The sequence below is a fragment of the Homo sapiens genome, chromosome 11 (assembly GCF_000001405.40).
Source record: "Homo sapiens chromosome 11, GRCh38.p14 Primary Assembly".
NCBI classification, from domain to species: Eukaryota; Metazoa; Chordata; class Mammalia; order Primates; family Hominidae; genus Homo; species Homo sapiens.
Window position 1 is genome coordinate 128930216 of NC_000011.10, and position 14336 is coordinate 128944551.

General features: G+C 53.8%; 1 protein-coding gene across 10 annotated transcripts, besides 3 other annotated features; it reads right to left on the reverse strand.

Annotated features, from left to right (window-relative positions):
* Positions 4516 to 12656, reverse strand: TP53AIP1 (tumor protein p53 regulated apoptosis inducing protein 1). 10 transcript variants are annotated; one of them, XM_017018115.3, is made up of 5 exons: positions 12579 to 12656; positions 7463 to 7619; positions 6925 to 7022; positions 6547 to 6618; positions 6329 to 6434 (listed from the first exon to the last, which is right to left on the reverse strand). In XM_017018115.3, exons 1-5 carry the CDS (start codon positions 12626 to 12628, stop codon positions 6419 to 6421), a joined length of 393 nt encoding a protein of 130 aa, XP_016873604.1. In that variant the 5' UTR covers positions 12629 to 12656; the 3' UTR covers positions 6329 to 6418. The 10 variants fall into 10 exon arrangements, with proteins under 10 accessions (XP_016873606.1, NP_001182124.1, XP_016873603.1 ...); XM_017018117.2 differs by lacking the exons at positions 6547 to 6618; positions 6925 to 7022 and adding an exon at positions 4516 to 4829 and having other exon boundaries at positions 6323 to 6434; NM_001195195.2 differs by lacking the exons at positions 6547 to 6618; positions 6925 to 7022 and adding an exon at positions 4516 to 4829 and having other exon boundaries at positions 6323 to 6434; positions 7463 to 7679.
* Positions 7960 to 8460: an enhancer, noted in NCBI's record as "H3K4me1 hESC enhancer chr11:128808070-128808570 (GRCh37/hg19 assembly coordinates)". NCBI's record gives its function as "activates a minimal SCP1, AML or CMV promoter by ChIP-STARR-seq in naive H9 embryonic stem cells {active_cell/tissue: H9 hESC(naive)}" and the evidence as "EXISTENCE:reporter gene assay evidence [ECO:0000049][PMID:30033119]".
* Positions 8461 to 8961: an enhancer, noted in NCBI's record as "H3K4me1 hESC enhancer chr11:128808571-128809071 (GRCh37/hg19 assembly coordinates)". NCBI's record gives its function as "activates a minimal SCP1, AML or CMV promoter by ChIP-STARR-seq in naive H9 embryonic stem cells {active_cell/tissue: H9 hESC(naive)}" and the evidence as "EXISTENCE:reporter gene assay evidence [ECO:0000049][PMID:30033119]".
* Positions 10499 to 10999: an enhancer, noted in NCBI's record as "H3K4me1 hESC enhancer chr11:128810609-128811109 (GRCh37/hg19 assembly coordinates)". NCBI's record gives its function as "activates a minimal SCP1, AML or CMV promoter by ChIP-STARR-seq in primed H9 embryonic stem cells {active_cell/tissue: H9 hESC(primed)}" and the evidence as "EXISTENCE:reporter gene assay evidence [ECO:0000049][PMID:30033119]".

Below are 14336 nucleotides of genomic sequence, written 5' to 3' on the forward strand. Positions count from 1 at the left end.
TGTCAGGTCATACAGCAAAACAATGACCTCAGCCCCCAGGGCGCTGCAGCCTGCGAGCAGCCGGGCATCTGTCCTGAGAGCTGAGCAGACTCTCGGGGGGCCAGCTGCCCTGGCACCTGAAGCACTTCCTGAGGAGAGCGAGGAACTAGAGAGTGCATTTGGAGGTCAAATTTGGAATTGGCTGTCTAGATAATTCCCTCCCCCGCTCCCCGCTCCCATCCCTTCTTCTCCCCACCCTCCCTGGAGGTACAAGGAGAAAACTGCCACTGAGAAGGAGGCCGGGGGTTAGGGAGGCCTAGGGTTAGGGAGGCCGGGGTAGGGAGGCTGGGGGTTAGGGAGACCAAGGGTCAGGGAGGCCAGGGGTTAGGGAGGCCTAGGGTTAGGGAGGCCGGGGTTAGGGAGGCCTAGGGTTAGGGAGGCCGGGGTTAGGGAGGCTGGGGTTAGGGAGGCCGGGGTTAGGGAGGCCAGGGTAGGGAGGCTGGGGTTAGGGAGGCCAGGGGTTAAGGAGGCCGGGGTTAGGGAGGCCGGGGTTAGGGAGGCCGGGGTTAGGGAGGCCAGGGTTAGGGAGGCCGGGGTTAGGGAGGCCGGGGTTAGGGAGGCTGGGGTTAGGGAGGCCGGGGTTAGGGAGGCCGGGGTTAGGGAGGCCGGGGTTAGGGAGGCCAGGGGGTTAGGGAGGCTGGGGTTAGGGAGGCCGGGGTTAGGGAGGCCGGGGTTAGGGAGGCCGGGGTTAGGGAGGCAGGGATTATGGAGGCAGGGATTATGGAGGCAGGGATTAGGGAGGGCAAGGGTTCAGGAGGGCAGGGGTTGTAAACCTGGCACTCCCTACTCCCCATCCCAGCCAGGCGTTCTCATCTCTGCCTGTTTCCTTCCTGTTCCACTCTCCCTGTCATATGGAGTGGATTTTCTCTCCCCTCCCTCAACCTCTATGTATGTGTTGGACATCGGTTTTTGCCTTTGCTCTGGACTGAATGTTTGTGTCCCCCAACCCCAAATTCCCACGTTGAAACCCTAACCCCAATGTGATGGGATTTGGAGGTGGGGCCTTTGGGAAGGGATTAGTCTTAGATGAGGTCAGGAGGTTGGGGCCCTGGGAGTGGCATTAGTGCCTTAGTGGAAAGAGGAAGAGGCGGGTCATGGTGGCTCATGCCTGTCATCCCAGCACTTTGGGAGGCTGAGGTGGGCATATACTGGAGCTCAGAGGTTCAAGGCCAGCCTGGGCAACATAGCAAGACCCCATCTCTACAAAAAATACAAAAATTAGTCTGGTGTGCTGGCACACACCTGTAGTCCCAGCAATTCAGGAGGCTGAGGCAGGAGAATCGCTTGGGTCTGGGAGGTCCTGGCACCCCAGTCTGGGTGACAGAGTGAGACTCTGTCTCAAAAAAAAAAAAGAACCAAGAGGAGACAAGACTCTTCTCTCTTTGCTTCATGTGAGGATACAAGGAGACGGTGGGCTTCTGCAAACCAGGACGTGAAACTTCACGAGATATCAGATCTGCTGGCACCTTCATCATGGACTTCTCAGCCTCCAGAGCTGCGAGAAATAACTGTTTATTGTTGAAGCCACTCCATCTATGGTGTTCTATGATACAGCCCAAGCTGACTAAGGCAACTTCCAAGGACAGGCAGTAGAGCATTCCTGGGGGCTTATGGCCAATCCCTGTGTTCTCCAGACACACATGATCTTCCTCCGTGTCTCCACCTGTCGAGTTATATATAGCCTGCGGGGTTGACAGCTGCTCCTCCTCCTACCCCTGCAGTATCCACAGAAGATCCCCTGTGCATAACCACATCTCAGTAGAGGCCACCACACTGCATCCATTTCATTGCCTTAATAGGGGTGCTAACTCCTGGGAGTAGAGTTGCCAGATTTAACAAATAAAAATACAGGCTTCCCAGCTCCATTGAAATTTCAGCTGATCAATGACTAATGTTAGAACATAAGTGTGTCCCATGCAGTTCCGGGGACCTACTTATACTGAAAAGTTTTCTGTTGGTTACTTGAAATTCAATTGAATTAGGTGTACTGTATCTTTATTTGCTGAATCTGGGACCTATGCCCACTTTAGCCCATCTGATCACTAGGAGGGAGCAGTTTGACAGTTTATGCCCTTAGGCTGTCCCTACGAGGGGGAAATGATATGATAAATTGATCAGCATATTAGAGTGTTAACTCAAAAGGTTCTCGCTTGTGAGGCAGAGCAGCAGTCACAGAGCCTGAGCCCAGAGGGCTGACTGTCTATCTCACACTCGGTTTCCTCACCCCTGCAATGCAGGCATTTAACCAGATGACCCCTTAACACCCTTCACTGCTGACATCCGGAGCCTCCTTGTGGAGCTGTTGTCAGAGTTTGGAAAGTGTGAGTGTGACCTAGAGAACGCTGGGTGCAGACGTGAAGATCCAGTATGTCTGATGTGGGCCCCGGAGTCTGCATTTAAACATGCATCCTGACCGGGCATGGTGGCTCACACCTGTAATCCCAGCACTTTGGAGTTTGAGAACAGCCTGGCCCACATGGTGAAACATCGTCTCTACTAAAAAAGTACAAAAATTAGCTGGGTGTGGTGGTGCATGCCTGTAGTCCCAGCTACTCGGGAGGCTGAGGCAGGAGAATGGCTTGAACCCAGGAGGCGGAGGTTGCAGTGAACTGAGATGGCACCATTGCACTGCAGCCTGGGTGACAGAGCCAGGCTCCATCTCAAAAAAAAAAAAAAAAGTGCATCCTCTGCCATTTAGATGTTGATGATCTGAAAAGGACAGTTTGGGATACCCTGGTCTTGCGTTTATCCTCCTCTGCAGGGTGTGCATGTGTGTGGGTCCATAGGGGCTGCTTCATTTTTAAAACAGGCCCCCAGGGTGAAAGTGCAACCTAACCCTAGTGAAAGGTTGTCAGGAATTGTCGTGAGGCCACCCATGCTCGGAGCTTCCTCAGGTCCCTCCGATTTCCTTGTTCACTCACCTGTCACCATCTGTGGACCTGGGTGGTGGGGTCCCTGCCCTACCCCATGGACGGGGCAGCCCAACCAGCATCTGCACAGAATGCAGCTGCAGAAGTGAAAACTCAGGTCTGTCCCCAAACAGACAGGTAGGCACAACACGGTAGCCTGGCCCTGGGTAGGGAGCCATCTTTGCGGTAGGGAGGTGGGGTGTGGGCTGCAGCCGCACTGGGGGCCTGGATTCTTGGAAATGATCATGGATACTGATGTGAGCAGAGGGAATTGAGGGAGACCAGTCTGAGCTCACAGAGCTCTGCAATGTCCCCCCTACACAGATGGCCTCAGGCTGCCCTTGCAGATGTGTCCTGCACTTCTCACTGCCATCTGGAGTCAAGCTGGCATCTCCAGGTTTTGGCACTGTCCCACCTGCAGCCAAGACTCCAAGTGCACTTTAACTTCTACTGTTATCAAGAGCCTGGTCTTGCCCACTGCCGGCTCACTCTCCAAAGCCACAAGGGTCAGAGATTCAGCACATGTGTCTTGGAGCCGGCTAACCCAGAAGCAAGCCTTGGATCTACAGCTTGCTCAGTGACCTCATGTCCTTTACTTAACCTCCTTTGCAAAATACAGATAATGGTCTCCCTTCATGACAGACCCAGCCCCAAGGAATGCAATGAGCTGACAGCCTCCAGTGACAGGGGCCTGCACATCAAGGCCATGTGCTTCCCAGGCAGAGCCCAGCTGATGATGACTGCCATGGTGGGCTCCTCTACGGGCAGTCTTGGGCTGGAGCCCCTGTGCCACTCACCAAAAGTTTTCTGAGCAGCCTGCAGTCTGAGGATCTTCCTGCCTGACCCTCCTTCCTCCTCCCTCTCCTTTCGTAGGTGTCAGACCTGCATCGTGACCTGAGGCTCCCTCTGCCTACTTCTGCTTAGTTCCCCATTTTGTTCACAGGCATTACCCCTGTAAATCTCTGGCACGTCTAACGACATCTTGGCATATTCTTCCTGAGGACCCAGCTGATGAATCATCCCATCTCAGGGCCCCATCCTCCCCTATGAGGGCCCTGCTGTTAGCGTGGGGAGTTAGCTGGGGCTCTGCATTCAGCGTCTGGTAGCTCCACTACACATGTGATCAACTCCAGACCTCATTTTCAGTACAGCCTGTCCTCTGTCAGTAGCAGATGAGAGTCATTTTAAATACTGCTATGGAGACCTGTGGCCTCAAAGCGAGCCCTGAGTTGATAGTTGTGGGCTTAAGCCCATCTTTCTGTCTCCATGGGGTTCCTACTGCAATGAGCCAAACCAGCCCACTTCACGGCCATGACCATCCCCGCTGCCTCCATGCCTTTTTGTTGCCAGGGCTGCTGCATGAGCCAGTGTGTCCTTTTATACCTGGACCTCATCTCAAGCCACCACAGGCTTAGTAAGATCTCACCACCCTGCACACCACCAGCCAAAGGGTGTCCAGCAAGCGATCCCAGCTCAGAATTTCATTTTAGGGGCTACTCCGCAGGGCTGCTTCTGGTATCGACTTTCTTAGTTTAGGTTTCCCCGAGGTCAGAGACTGAGACAAGGCCCTGAGTGCACATCATTTATTTGGAAGGTGAACCTAGAATGCACAAGGGAGGAAGTGCAGAGAGAGACCCACAGGGAAGGGAGAAAAGCCAGTGCAGGTTGTGGCATCCAATGTGGGCGATTGAGGTCATGCCCACTGGGGATCCTCGGAAGTGTCATGTAGACTATGGCTCAGCTGCAGCCCACCCAGGGAAGCTGGGGGATTTACACACCAATGCTTTTCCCCCATTGGTTAAGGGTTGCCCTGGGGCTTTCAACTCCCAGAATTTCAGGATGAGGCAGCTCTGCACACAGGCCAGGCAAGCTCTTACTGCACTGAAAAACACAAAACAAAACCAAGCTATCAATGCCGGGGCTTGTGGTAGGAACGTGTCAGCAGGAATGACTGTCCACTGCAGCTGGGGGACACCCAGCGGGGGCCCGGGGCTTGCTGGTTGGCATCAGCAGCATCTGCTATAGATGATCAAACCCGCACTTCTCAAACCGTCCTTGGAAGTGCATACTGGGAGTGCCCTCGGGCGTGCCATAGCTGTGAGACAACGCTTGGAGCATACTTTTCCTTGCAGAGTTTTGTGGAGATGCATCGTTTTTAGTTTTTAGCAAGTGGATATTATAGATTGGAATGCAAACTTCACAAGAATTTTTTTCCAGCTTTTATTTCAGATTTGGGGATACAGAAGGATGCAAAATGAGGCAACCTAGCCACCCAACTGGCCCAGTGGTCAAGGGGGGAAATGAGGTGGCCGCTAGTCAGCGCTGGAGCCATTTCTCGACGGTGCTTTCTGTTTGTTTGTTTGTTTTTGTTTTGAGATGGAGTCTCTCTCTGTCGCCCAGGCTGGAGTGCAGTGGCGTGATCTCGGCTCACTGCAACCTCAACGGTGCTTTTTTCTGATCATAGCTGAGCTCAAATGCTGACCCCAGTGGCCTGTCTCTAAGCACTGTGGCTCCAGGAAGGAAAGGCCTGGAGAGACCTAGACCAAGGCCTCAGTAGGGAGGGAGAGAATTTACTCTTTGCAAAACGTATGGAGTCCTTGTTATTTACCAAATATCATGTTACAGACCAGGGATAAAAACAACAATAATGAATTTCAGTGAATCTAAAACACAATCCATTGTAAGGCACATCATTATTCTATCTCCCAAGACAGGAAAAAAAATCTTTAGATTTCATAGATATCAAATGGGCCAACAAAAATGTATCTTGGAATAAACAAAATATGCTAATGATAACAGTAAGATATGTAGGACATACTACGTACAGGTGCTGTTCTTAGCATTTCATATCTATCATTTTACCCACACAGTGAATCTGTGAGATGGAAGCTATTATCATTCCATTTTACAGACACCTACACTGAGACTCAGGCAGGCCAGTTGTCCTGCCCATGTACACACAGCTCCTAAGTGGTAGAGTCAGGATTTGAACCCAGACCCCGCAGCCTGGCTCCATGCTCTCAACAGCTTTGCAGAAACTAAAGTTGGAATGGAAGACTGCTCATTCCAAATCTGTCCTATTGTCCAGCATCCTATGGCCCATTCCAGAAAGTTCAGTGGGTGTCAATTAGCTTGGCTGTAGTGACCACTCTTAAGTGTACCGTTACCTTTTATTTTAATTTGAGAAATTAAATAAAATACATCCACAGCAGTTTACAACTCTGCCATGATGTCATTTTGTCAGATGGCAAATTTCAGGAGAGGGTCAAACTCAAAAAACCCTATGTCGTTACCTGGATTTATCGAGAGGACATCAAATCACTTAATTCTATCACGGCCCACACCCATGAATTCACTAAGTAATTATCACACACCTGTCAGGATCCAGACAGTTGCTGAGGACCAAGATCCAGACGAGACTGACAGAGCTTCTATTCCCCGGCACCCTCCGTGAACTTGGGCACCCAAAACTAAGGGATCTGAAACCTGAGAGGAAATGGAAGCAGACTGTGAGGCCCTGCAGCGCCGTCTCTTGGATGGTTTATTCTTCTCTGGCAGGTTTTCCCCTAGGTATTCATGGCATCCAGGGGCATTTCACCTCAGCAAAGTGATGACGCTGCCACTCAGGTTCCCATGGAAACCAAACTGGGACAGGAGGAACAAAAGGCTCCTCAAGGTCAGTGGTGCAAAGGACATTAGAGACAAAGACAGAGACAGCAAATCAGCCCAAAGAACAGACATAAACCGGCGCTTCCTCCCTCCCATCACCACAGCTCGGGGCTTTGTCACCCCAGCACACCTGGGCCCTGCACCTCAGACGCTGCGTGTGAGCTTCTGGGGAGAGAAGTGTGGGCCTCCAGGGAGGTGTAGGCGCTCCTGGCTCCTGGCAGACTCCTGGCCCAGGCCTGGCCTGTGTCTGCTTCCGGAGCCATGCGCTGCCTGTGCTGGGATGAATGCATGGCCCCTGCATCCTTACCCCCTCCTCAGAGCCCACAAGCTTCCGAGTGCGTCATCTTCATTATTGGCCACAGGAAACGACTTCTTGGAGTAAGTGACTGGTGCTCCGAGGCCCATCTGGACAAAAGCAGGATCCGGGGTGGACGCAGAAGAGCAGGCCCGGAGCCCTGCACCCCAGCCTTCCCTCCCCATGCGCTCCACATGCGTCCTTTGTTCAGCCTCTCCATTTAGCTCTCACTTTCTGGATGCAGCCAGGCACCACCTTCCTTCCAAAAGCCTTGTTTCTCAGAAAACCTTTCTGCCTCCTAGAAACCCAGGATTCCGAGGAGGAGGAGGGCTGGCCTTCCTCTTGGGACTATTGATCAGGGCTGTCAGTTCCCAGCTCTGTCCAATGCTCTGAACTGGGGACAGTCCGCATGCAGCTCTGAGGACCCAGATGCTGTCACTGGGTCCTGGTGAGTCTGAAAACTTGGGATGTCGGCACCACGGTGAGAGCAGAGTCTGCCCGGGGCTGTGGCAGGCAAAAGACCGTCTCGGTTTTCACTGCAGGGACTTACCCAGCCAGGTGTGTGTGTCTGAGCCCTGCCATTCGGAGGCATCACCGAGAGGTTCTGGTCTCCCCTGCCCAGGCCCTGCCTCCTGGCCCCACTGCAGGAAGCTTGAGCAGATCTGAAGCTCGCCTCAGAGGAAGATCCCATCCAGGGGAGGCCCTGTCTGCAGAAAGCAGAGAACTTGGCTTCTCCTCATTTGTTGTTAGGGCCAGTCCCTAAGGGACTAAAAACAAACAAAACAGGCTATGAACAGAAGCAGTGGTGGCAGCGCTGGGCCAGCAATGATGATTTCTACTGTTAGGGTTTCAGTTGTACTTGGATCTGGGAGGGGGAAGCCGATGCACCCAGAGACCCTAGGGCTGGGCTGTAACCACACACCTGAGGAGATGCTTTGGGAAACTCAAACTGAAGCCATTTGTGCTGAATTTGGGGAAAGGGGGTGGGATGATGGAGTTAGGAGCGTTGTCGTTAACTGGTCATTAATTAGATATTAACTAGGCATTAACTAGACTTTCGGGGAAGCAACAAGGCCTCTGTGTCCACGGTTGTAAGGTGTGGGCTACCCTGATGAGGGGTGCTCCAGCTGTATTCATGATTCACATTCATTCATTACATGCCTGATCTCTATCTCAGAGGCCCGGCCTTCTGTTAGTAAGCTCTCAGATTCAGGGAAAGGAGTCTCAGAGAACTCCACATCCGTGTGGAGTCAGACGGATCAGAGCAGAACACAGAGCTGCCTTCTCTGTCCTGCTCTCTCTCCCACTCACCTGCTCAGAGGTTGCCAGCCGGGCCCTGTCTCCCTCTCTGCCCTCCTGGGTATCACGGTCCCTCAACCCAGGGAAGCTGGTGCCCTCACTTGTCTCCCATAGTCCTGTGTCATCTGGGCTTCTGTGGCCCCTCTCAGCTTTCAGGACCATCCAGTCTTCCCCGTCCCTGTTCTTTCTCTCGCAAGTCCCCGGTGGCCCAGGGTCTAGGGAGAAGCTGCATTCTGAGCTACTGCCCACATCGCTTCCCCAGGGCGGCGGGAGCTCTGGAATGGCAGGCCCCGTCCTTGACAGCCTATCCATGACCTCCAGGGGCAGCTCACAGCAGCGCCACCTGCATCACCCACAGAATGGAGGGAGACAGCGGCTCTCCACACAAAGGCACTGAGAAAAAAGAATACCCTGAAAGCCACACAGGTCTCAGGGCAGCAGGGAGTGGGAGCACTCATCACAGGCCAGAAGCCCAGCAAGTAGCATCAGACACCTCAGGTTAAAGAGAACGTAGAGATTGTCGCTTCCCACCCTCCCCATTCTAGTCAATTCGGACCAGTTTGGTACATGCTGGCCATGTGCGGTGACCACGCTAAGTACTGTGCGTGTACCATTTCTCGGAATACTTCCTGCAACCTTATGAAGTTCTCGCCCAATTTAACAAGCACTAACCAAACTCAGAAGGCATTTACCCAATGCTGCACGTTACGAAAATGTAAAAGAACGAACACGGCTTCAATACCAGGATTGAGCCCAAAGGTCACGTTCTTTCCCTGCGGCTCCCTTCCCCATCTGGTTCTGGGGAAGACACTCTGCACGCAGCCCCCAGGAGACCACAGGCCCTGGACTCCCAAATCCCAGCAGCAATGCAAAGCCACCCCCAGAAGAGCTGCCCAGGACAAGTGATCCTGCGGCCCATTGCTCACTCCCCGCAGAGGCAGGGGCAGCTGACTGCTGTCCCAGATGGACATAGAAGGTCACCATGTGGCCTGCTGGGGTCTGCAGGATAGAAGGCGTGAGGTGAAGAGTTTGAGCTGGTGCCTACACCTCCGTCTTCCAGCCACTGAAAACAGGATTCTCCAGAGTTCACACCTATGCATCTGGTTCAATGCTGGGCATTTTGTCAGGCCACAAGCCAGCAGCCATGCAGCGGATGCACCTGTAGATGATGCACTGCCTTACTGTCCAGACAGAACAAAAGGGATCCCCTTTCCAACCCGAAACTGTCGGATTCTCTAAGAGGTCCGTCACAACCCATCTTAATGCAAGAGGGACTGTGGCTCTTCTGGAAACACGATGCCTCGGTGCCATGAAATGACAGCTGCTTCTTTTGAAGAACTGGGCTATTCCCATGTAAAGCTGGCTGCAATGGATGATGTTTCTGACTCATACTCTGGCTTTAAAATCAAAGTGTTTGTTAGAAAGCAGCTTTGTTTTCCTTCTATTTCCTGTTTGAAAAGTGAAGCGTTAACACGAAGGAGGGTCCCAGCGGAGTTCATGCCGGGACTCAGGTTGCACACGGCCAGTGGTCCCGGGATATCCAGGGAGCCACTCAGAGGGGACACTTCCAGCTGCCATGCAAACTCATCATGCACCCAGCCCCCCCTTGCTCCAGCTCTGACCATAGTGCCCTCAACACAGGGCCCTGGGCAGCTACCCTCAAACACCTGGATGCCAAGCATGAGAGGGAACCAACTTGCCCTCCCTGGTCTATTATCACAAAGAACCTTGGAGCCCCTGCACAGGAACCCACTCCTTAGAGGGCACAAGGGGCCAAGTTTTGTTTGAGACAATGAGCTGGCATTGGAAGGGAGAGATGACAGCTATCCTCTGTCCTGCTTCCAGGGCAGGGCAGAGCAAGCTGCTTTTGGCCCCGTCTCTGAGGCAGACATGAGCACACTTGTCTCAGGCAGAAGCAGCCTTAGATGGTGTTATGGTTTGAACGTGTTTCCCCCGCAAAATCCAGGTGTTGCCAATGTGCTAGCATTAAGAGGTGGGGCCTTAAGAGGGGATTAGGCCATGAATGGAATCAGGTGTCCTGATGTAGGTGCTGTGTGGAGGGAGTACATTCACTCGTTGCCCTTCCACCTTCAGCCATGTGAGGACGGCAGCCTTTGTCCCTTCTGGAGGACGCAGCAGCAAGGCACCATCATGAAAGCAGAGACTGGAGCCATCACCAGGCACAGAACCTGCTGGCACCTGGCTCCAGAGCTGTGGGAAGATACATTTCTGTCCTTTGTGAATCGCCCACTCTCCGGGGTTGTGTGAGAGCAGCACAAAATGGACTGGGACAGCTGGAATGTCAGTTTGCAACAGTCCCCACCCACACACTCAAGGCATGCCACGGCGGCCACGCTGGGTGCCTTTCCGCAGGTGCCCAGGCATCAGGAGCACTGGCCCAGTCTCGAGGGGCGTTCATGTCAGGGAGGTGCCCCCGCTAGTGTCAGCTTCAGCGCCGCCAGCATCAGGAAGTTCATCTCGACAAGCCCGGGCAAGAGAGGAGGCGGTGAGATCACCTCCTACCCATCCAGAGATCCCCCGACTTTGGAGTAGTCTGAAGGACTTGAGACTCCTGAAGTGAGAGGGGACAGAGCTAGGAGAAGGGAGGGCAGCCAGAAGGGCAGGGGTGCAGGGGGCGGGATGAGGAGAGCCAGGCTGGCATTAGCAAGAGCTTCTTCATGTCCTTTTGGCCCAAGGGGGCCGTGTTCTCTGAGGAAATGGGACTTGCTCCAGGGAAGAGGAAGAGCTCAGCATCCACTTTCCCTCTGCCGAACAGCTCCTGGGGAAAGCCCACCACTGTCTTCTTGCCCCGCTCTGTGCCCTCACACAAGCGATTCTCTCCACCTGCGACGTGTTTCCTCTCCCTCCCCTGGCCAGTGTCCATGGGTTCTCTGAGACGGAACAGGAAGTATTTTAAGGAAGACCTCCCTAACCTCCTCCCAGCTGGGTGGATCCCTCCCTCTGGGCCCCCACACATCTCAGTTTCAAAAGACCATTCACATTGTAGTCTAAATTAGTGGATCCCTGGTGTGTGATGTGTGCAGTTATAATGGGTTGCCTCAGCCCCCAACGCACCTTTCATTGCCTTCTTCTGTGATAATGCCCCTGGGCCCTGTACCCATTTCTCCCTTGCCAGCTGGCATGATGTTTAGCCCTGTGCAGAGGCAGGGGCCTCTCCCCGGTTCCGACATTTCTTTCTCTGCTTGCCCCGGCTGCTGGGGGGACATGAGGGACACTTGGCCCTGTTCTCTCTTCAGCAATAATTAGTCCCAGCCCAGGTTCCTGGCCTGCTGCTCCCTGAGGAGGGTTTGCCAGTGCCAGCCCGTGCTTCCTTGTACCAGGACTTGGTCTGCTGGGACCCAGTGGAAAGCCCACGGCTGCCGCCCCCACCCACCTTCCCCTGCTTGCCAGCCACAGTCACCAGCTGTAGACTTGTGTGGCTGTGCTGCGGAAGCAGATCTGGGTGGAGGAGGGCCCCACGCACAGACGTGAATATGAAGGGACCCTCTAGAGGTTGTGGCAAACACAGGTGCCCCGCCCCATGCCCTGTCTGCAGTCACAGCCCTTCCTACATGGAGGGTGCTATCATCAATCTTCTGGGGGGCTGTGGACACTCTGCATCCCCATACCTGTGGCAGTCCTGGCACACGGTAAGCTCTCAGTAAGTGTGGTGAGTCACTGCTGAAGGAACTAACAAATAAACCTCCCACCACCAACCACAGGTAGCTGGGGCAGAACTAGGGAACTGCTGAAAGGAGGCTGGTGAACCCTGCCATGACATGCCCGCTGTGCCCAGGACCCAGGCTCCCACAGCTCGCGTCCTTCCTCTATCCCAGATCCATTCAAAGTGAAGTGGCCTCCATACAGGCTTCCCTAGGGGCCCTGCTCAGTGTCCATGAGGCCACCATGCCGCCGTTCACCAGGGGACGTGAGAAAGGGGCTGGCCTGTGGACCAGGACTGACCCAGGTCTGAGCCCCAGCTCAGCGGTCGGCTAGCTGTGCGAGCTTGCGCAGTAGCTCCCCAAGTGTGGCTCAGGACGCACAGCATCGGCGTCAGCATCGCCCAGGAACCTGTTAGAGATACACATTTTTGGCCCCAACCTGCATCGACCAAGTCAGAAATTCTGCAGTGTGTGTTTTCGTAAGTCCTCCAGGTGACTCTGATGTACTCTCAGGGTTCAGAACCATTGAGAGAGAGCAGTTTAGCTGACCTCCTCCAGGCCTCACCTGCGCATGGTCACGACTGTACTTTCCGCACACAGTCGCCGAGATGCGTGTGAAACCCCAAGCACAAAGCAGAGTGAATCGCAGTGGCCAGAGCATACCTGAAGCACCAGCGCTGGTCCCCTCCCTCCCCCTCTCCTCACCTGCCTCCTAGGAGTCGGAGGGTCCGTGGAAATGGTCTCCTCCTGCACATCTGTGCTGCTGTGACTGGGTGCAGGTCTGAGCAGAGGCTTTCGGAGTGAGCTGAGCAGGCGAGCCCGAGCACGGCCTCTCAGGGAGCGAGCCCATAGGCTGGGGAGCCGTCCCTGGAGATGCCCCTGGGCTCCTTGCGGGGCATGGCTGAGTTCCTGCCTGTCCTTGGCAGGCCCGCAGTGGTGGGGTGGCTCAGGCAGTTACCCTTTTCACAACCAGTGCTGCTGGGGGTGAAGGCAACGGGTGGGTGAGCACGGACAGTGTGAGCCACGTGGCCGGGAGCTGGGCCAGCTCGCTGTATGTGCACATCGTTTCCATGTGTGCAGCAGAAATTGGCGTCTCTGCACAAAGCTGATTTTAGTCTTTCTCACCTTTTCTTGCTCAGCTTAAAATAGGCCTCTCTTCAGGGACAAGGTGGCCTTATACCAAGCCAAAGTGCTGAGGGCGCAGGGAGACCCGCGAGACAGGGCCCCCTGAAGTCCTGGCGGTTTCTAGCCAGCCTCTTGAAATTGACTTGAAGGTGTTTACCTTGCAGATTATTTTTTCCAACTTCCCACACTCTGCTTCCCGCACTCTGTCCTTCCTCAAGGCTGGCACGCTCATCAGTTGACTTCATCTCTCCCTAATGGCAAGGCCTGACCCAGAAAGAAATGCAACTCAGATCCCGGCTCAAATGAGGCTGGGAAAGCTGATGCCTGTAAGACCGACAAAGACGGTGCAAGGTGAGGTGAACGCCGCTGTGTCTGGGTGCCGGGCTCCCTTGTCGAGTTGACCCTGAGTCTGCATCAGCTCAAACGCAGTTCCCGGTTCCCCACTGAGATTCCCACTCCCGCCTGGAGGGGAGACGTGCCTGCCTTTTGAATGAAGCGTTGCACACTAGACATAGTATCACAGGCAGAATTGTCATTTTTAGCCTTTTTACATGTTGCCAACTTTCAGACATACTATTCCGTTTTATCCCTCCAAATTCCTCAAAAGCTGCTTCTATTTTGGAGCTCTTTCTTGCCAGTGCTGGGTAATTTCTCCCTAGCCATGTTTTTATTGTAGAGAATGGAAACCTGATGTGATGAACACTCTGAGTAGAAATCCCTGGGGGCTCGCAGTTAACCGGATAAGACATCTCACCCTGAGAAACGGTCCCAATTTCCTTTTAAAAATTCATTGTCTCTCTGAGATACATACATATTTCCTTGTCTCATTCCAGAATCAAAAGTTCTAATGTTGCAAAGAATAATTTTTGTCCAAATATGTTTTCTTCCTGGTGTTCCAGAGAGTCTGGGATAGCAAGAGGTGTGGAGCTTTGGTCCTCGGGTGACTCTGATTCCATCGTTCCTCCAGCAACCAGGGAGCAATCACTGCTGGGCAGGGAACACCTGCTTCCTCCCTGGGCTTCCAGCCTTCCCCTAGCAATCTTTTTTTTTTTTTTTTTTTTGAGACAGAGTCTCACTCTGTCACCCCGGCTGGAGTGCAGTGGTGCCATCTCAGCACACCGCAACCTCCAGCACACTGCAACCTCCACCTCCTGGGTTCAAACAATTCTCCTGCCTCAGCCTCCGGAGTAGCTGGGATTATAGGCACCCACCACTACACCCAGCTAACTTTTGTATTTTTTAGTAGAGATGGGGTTTTACCATGTTGGCCAGGCTGGTCTCGAACTCCTGACCTCAAGTGATCTGCCCACCTCAGCATCCCAAAGAGCTGGGATTACA

Excerpts from the sequence above, each read along its gene's own strand:
- TP53AIP1 (XM_017018113.2), bottom strand. The coding sequence starts at position 12,628 with ATGTGCAGGAGGAGACCATTTCCACGGACCCTCCGACTCCTAGGAGGC. Across the intron at positions 6,435-7,462 it reads AGACACACACACCTGGCTGG|GTTTCAGATCCCTTAGTTTT; the intron begins GTAAGTCCCTGC and ends ATTTCCTCTCAG. Across the intron at positions 5,498-6,322 it reads AACTGTCTGGATCCTGACAG|GCCTTGGTCTAGGTCTCTCC; the intron begins GTGTGTGATAAT and ends CTCCCTACTGAG.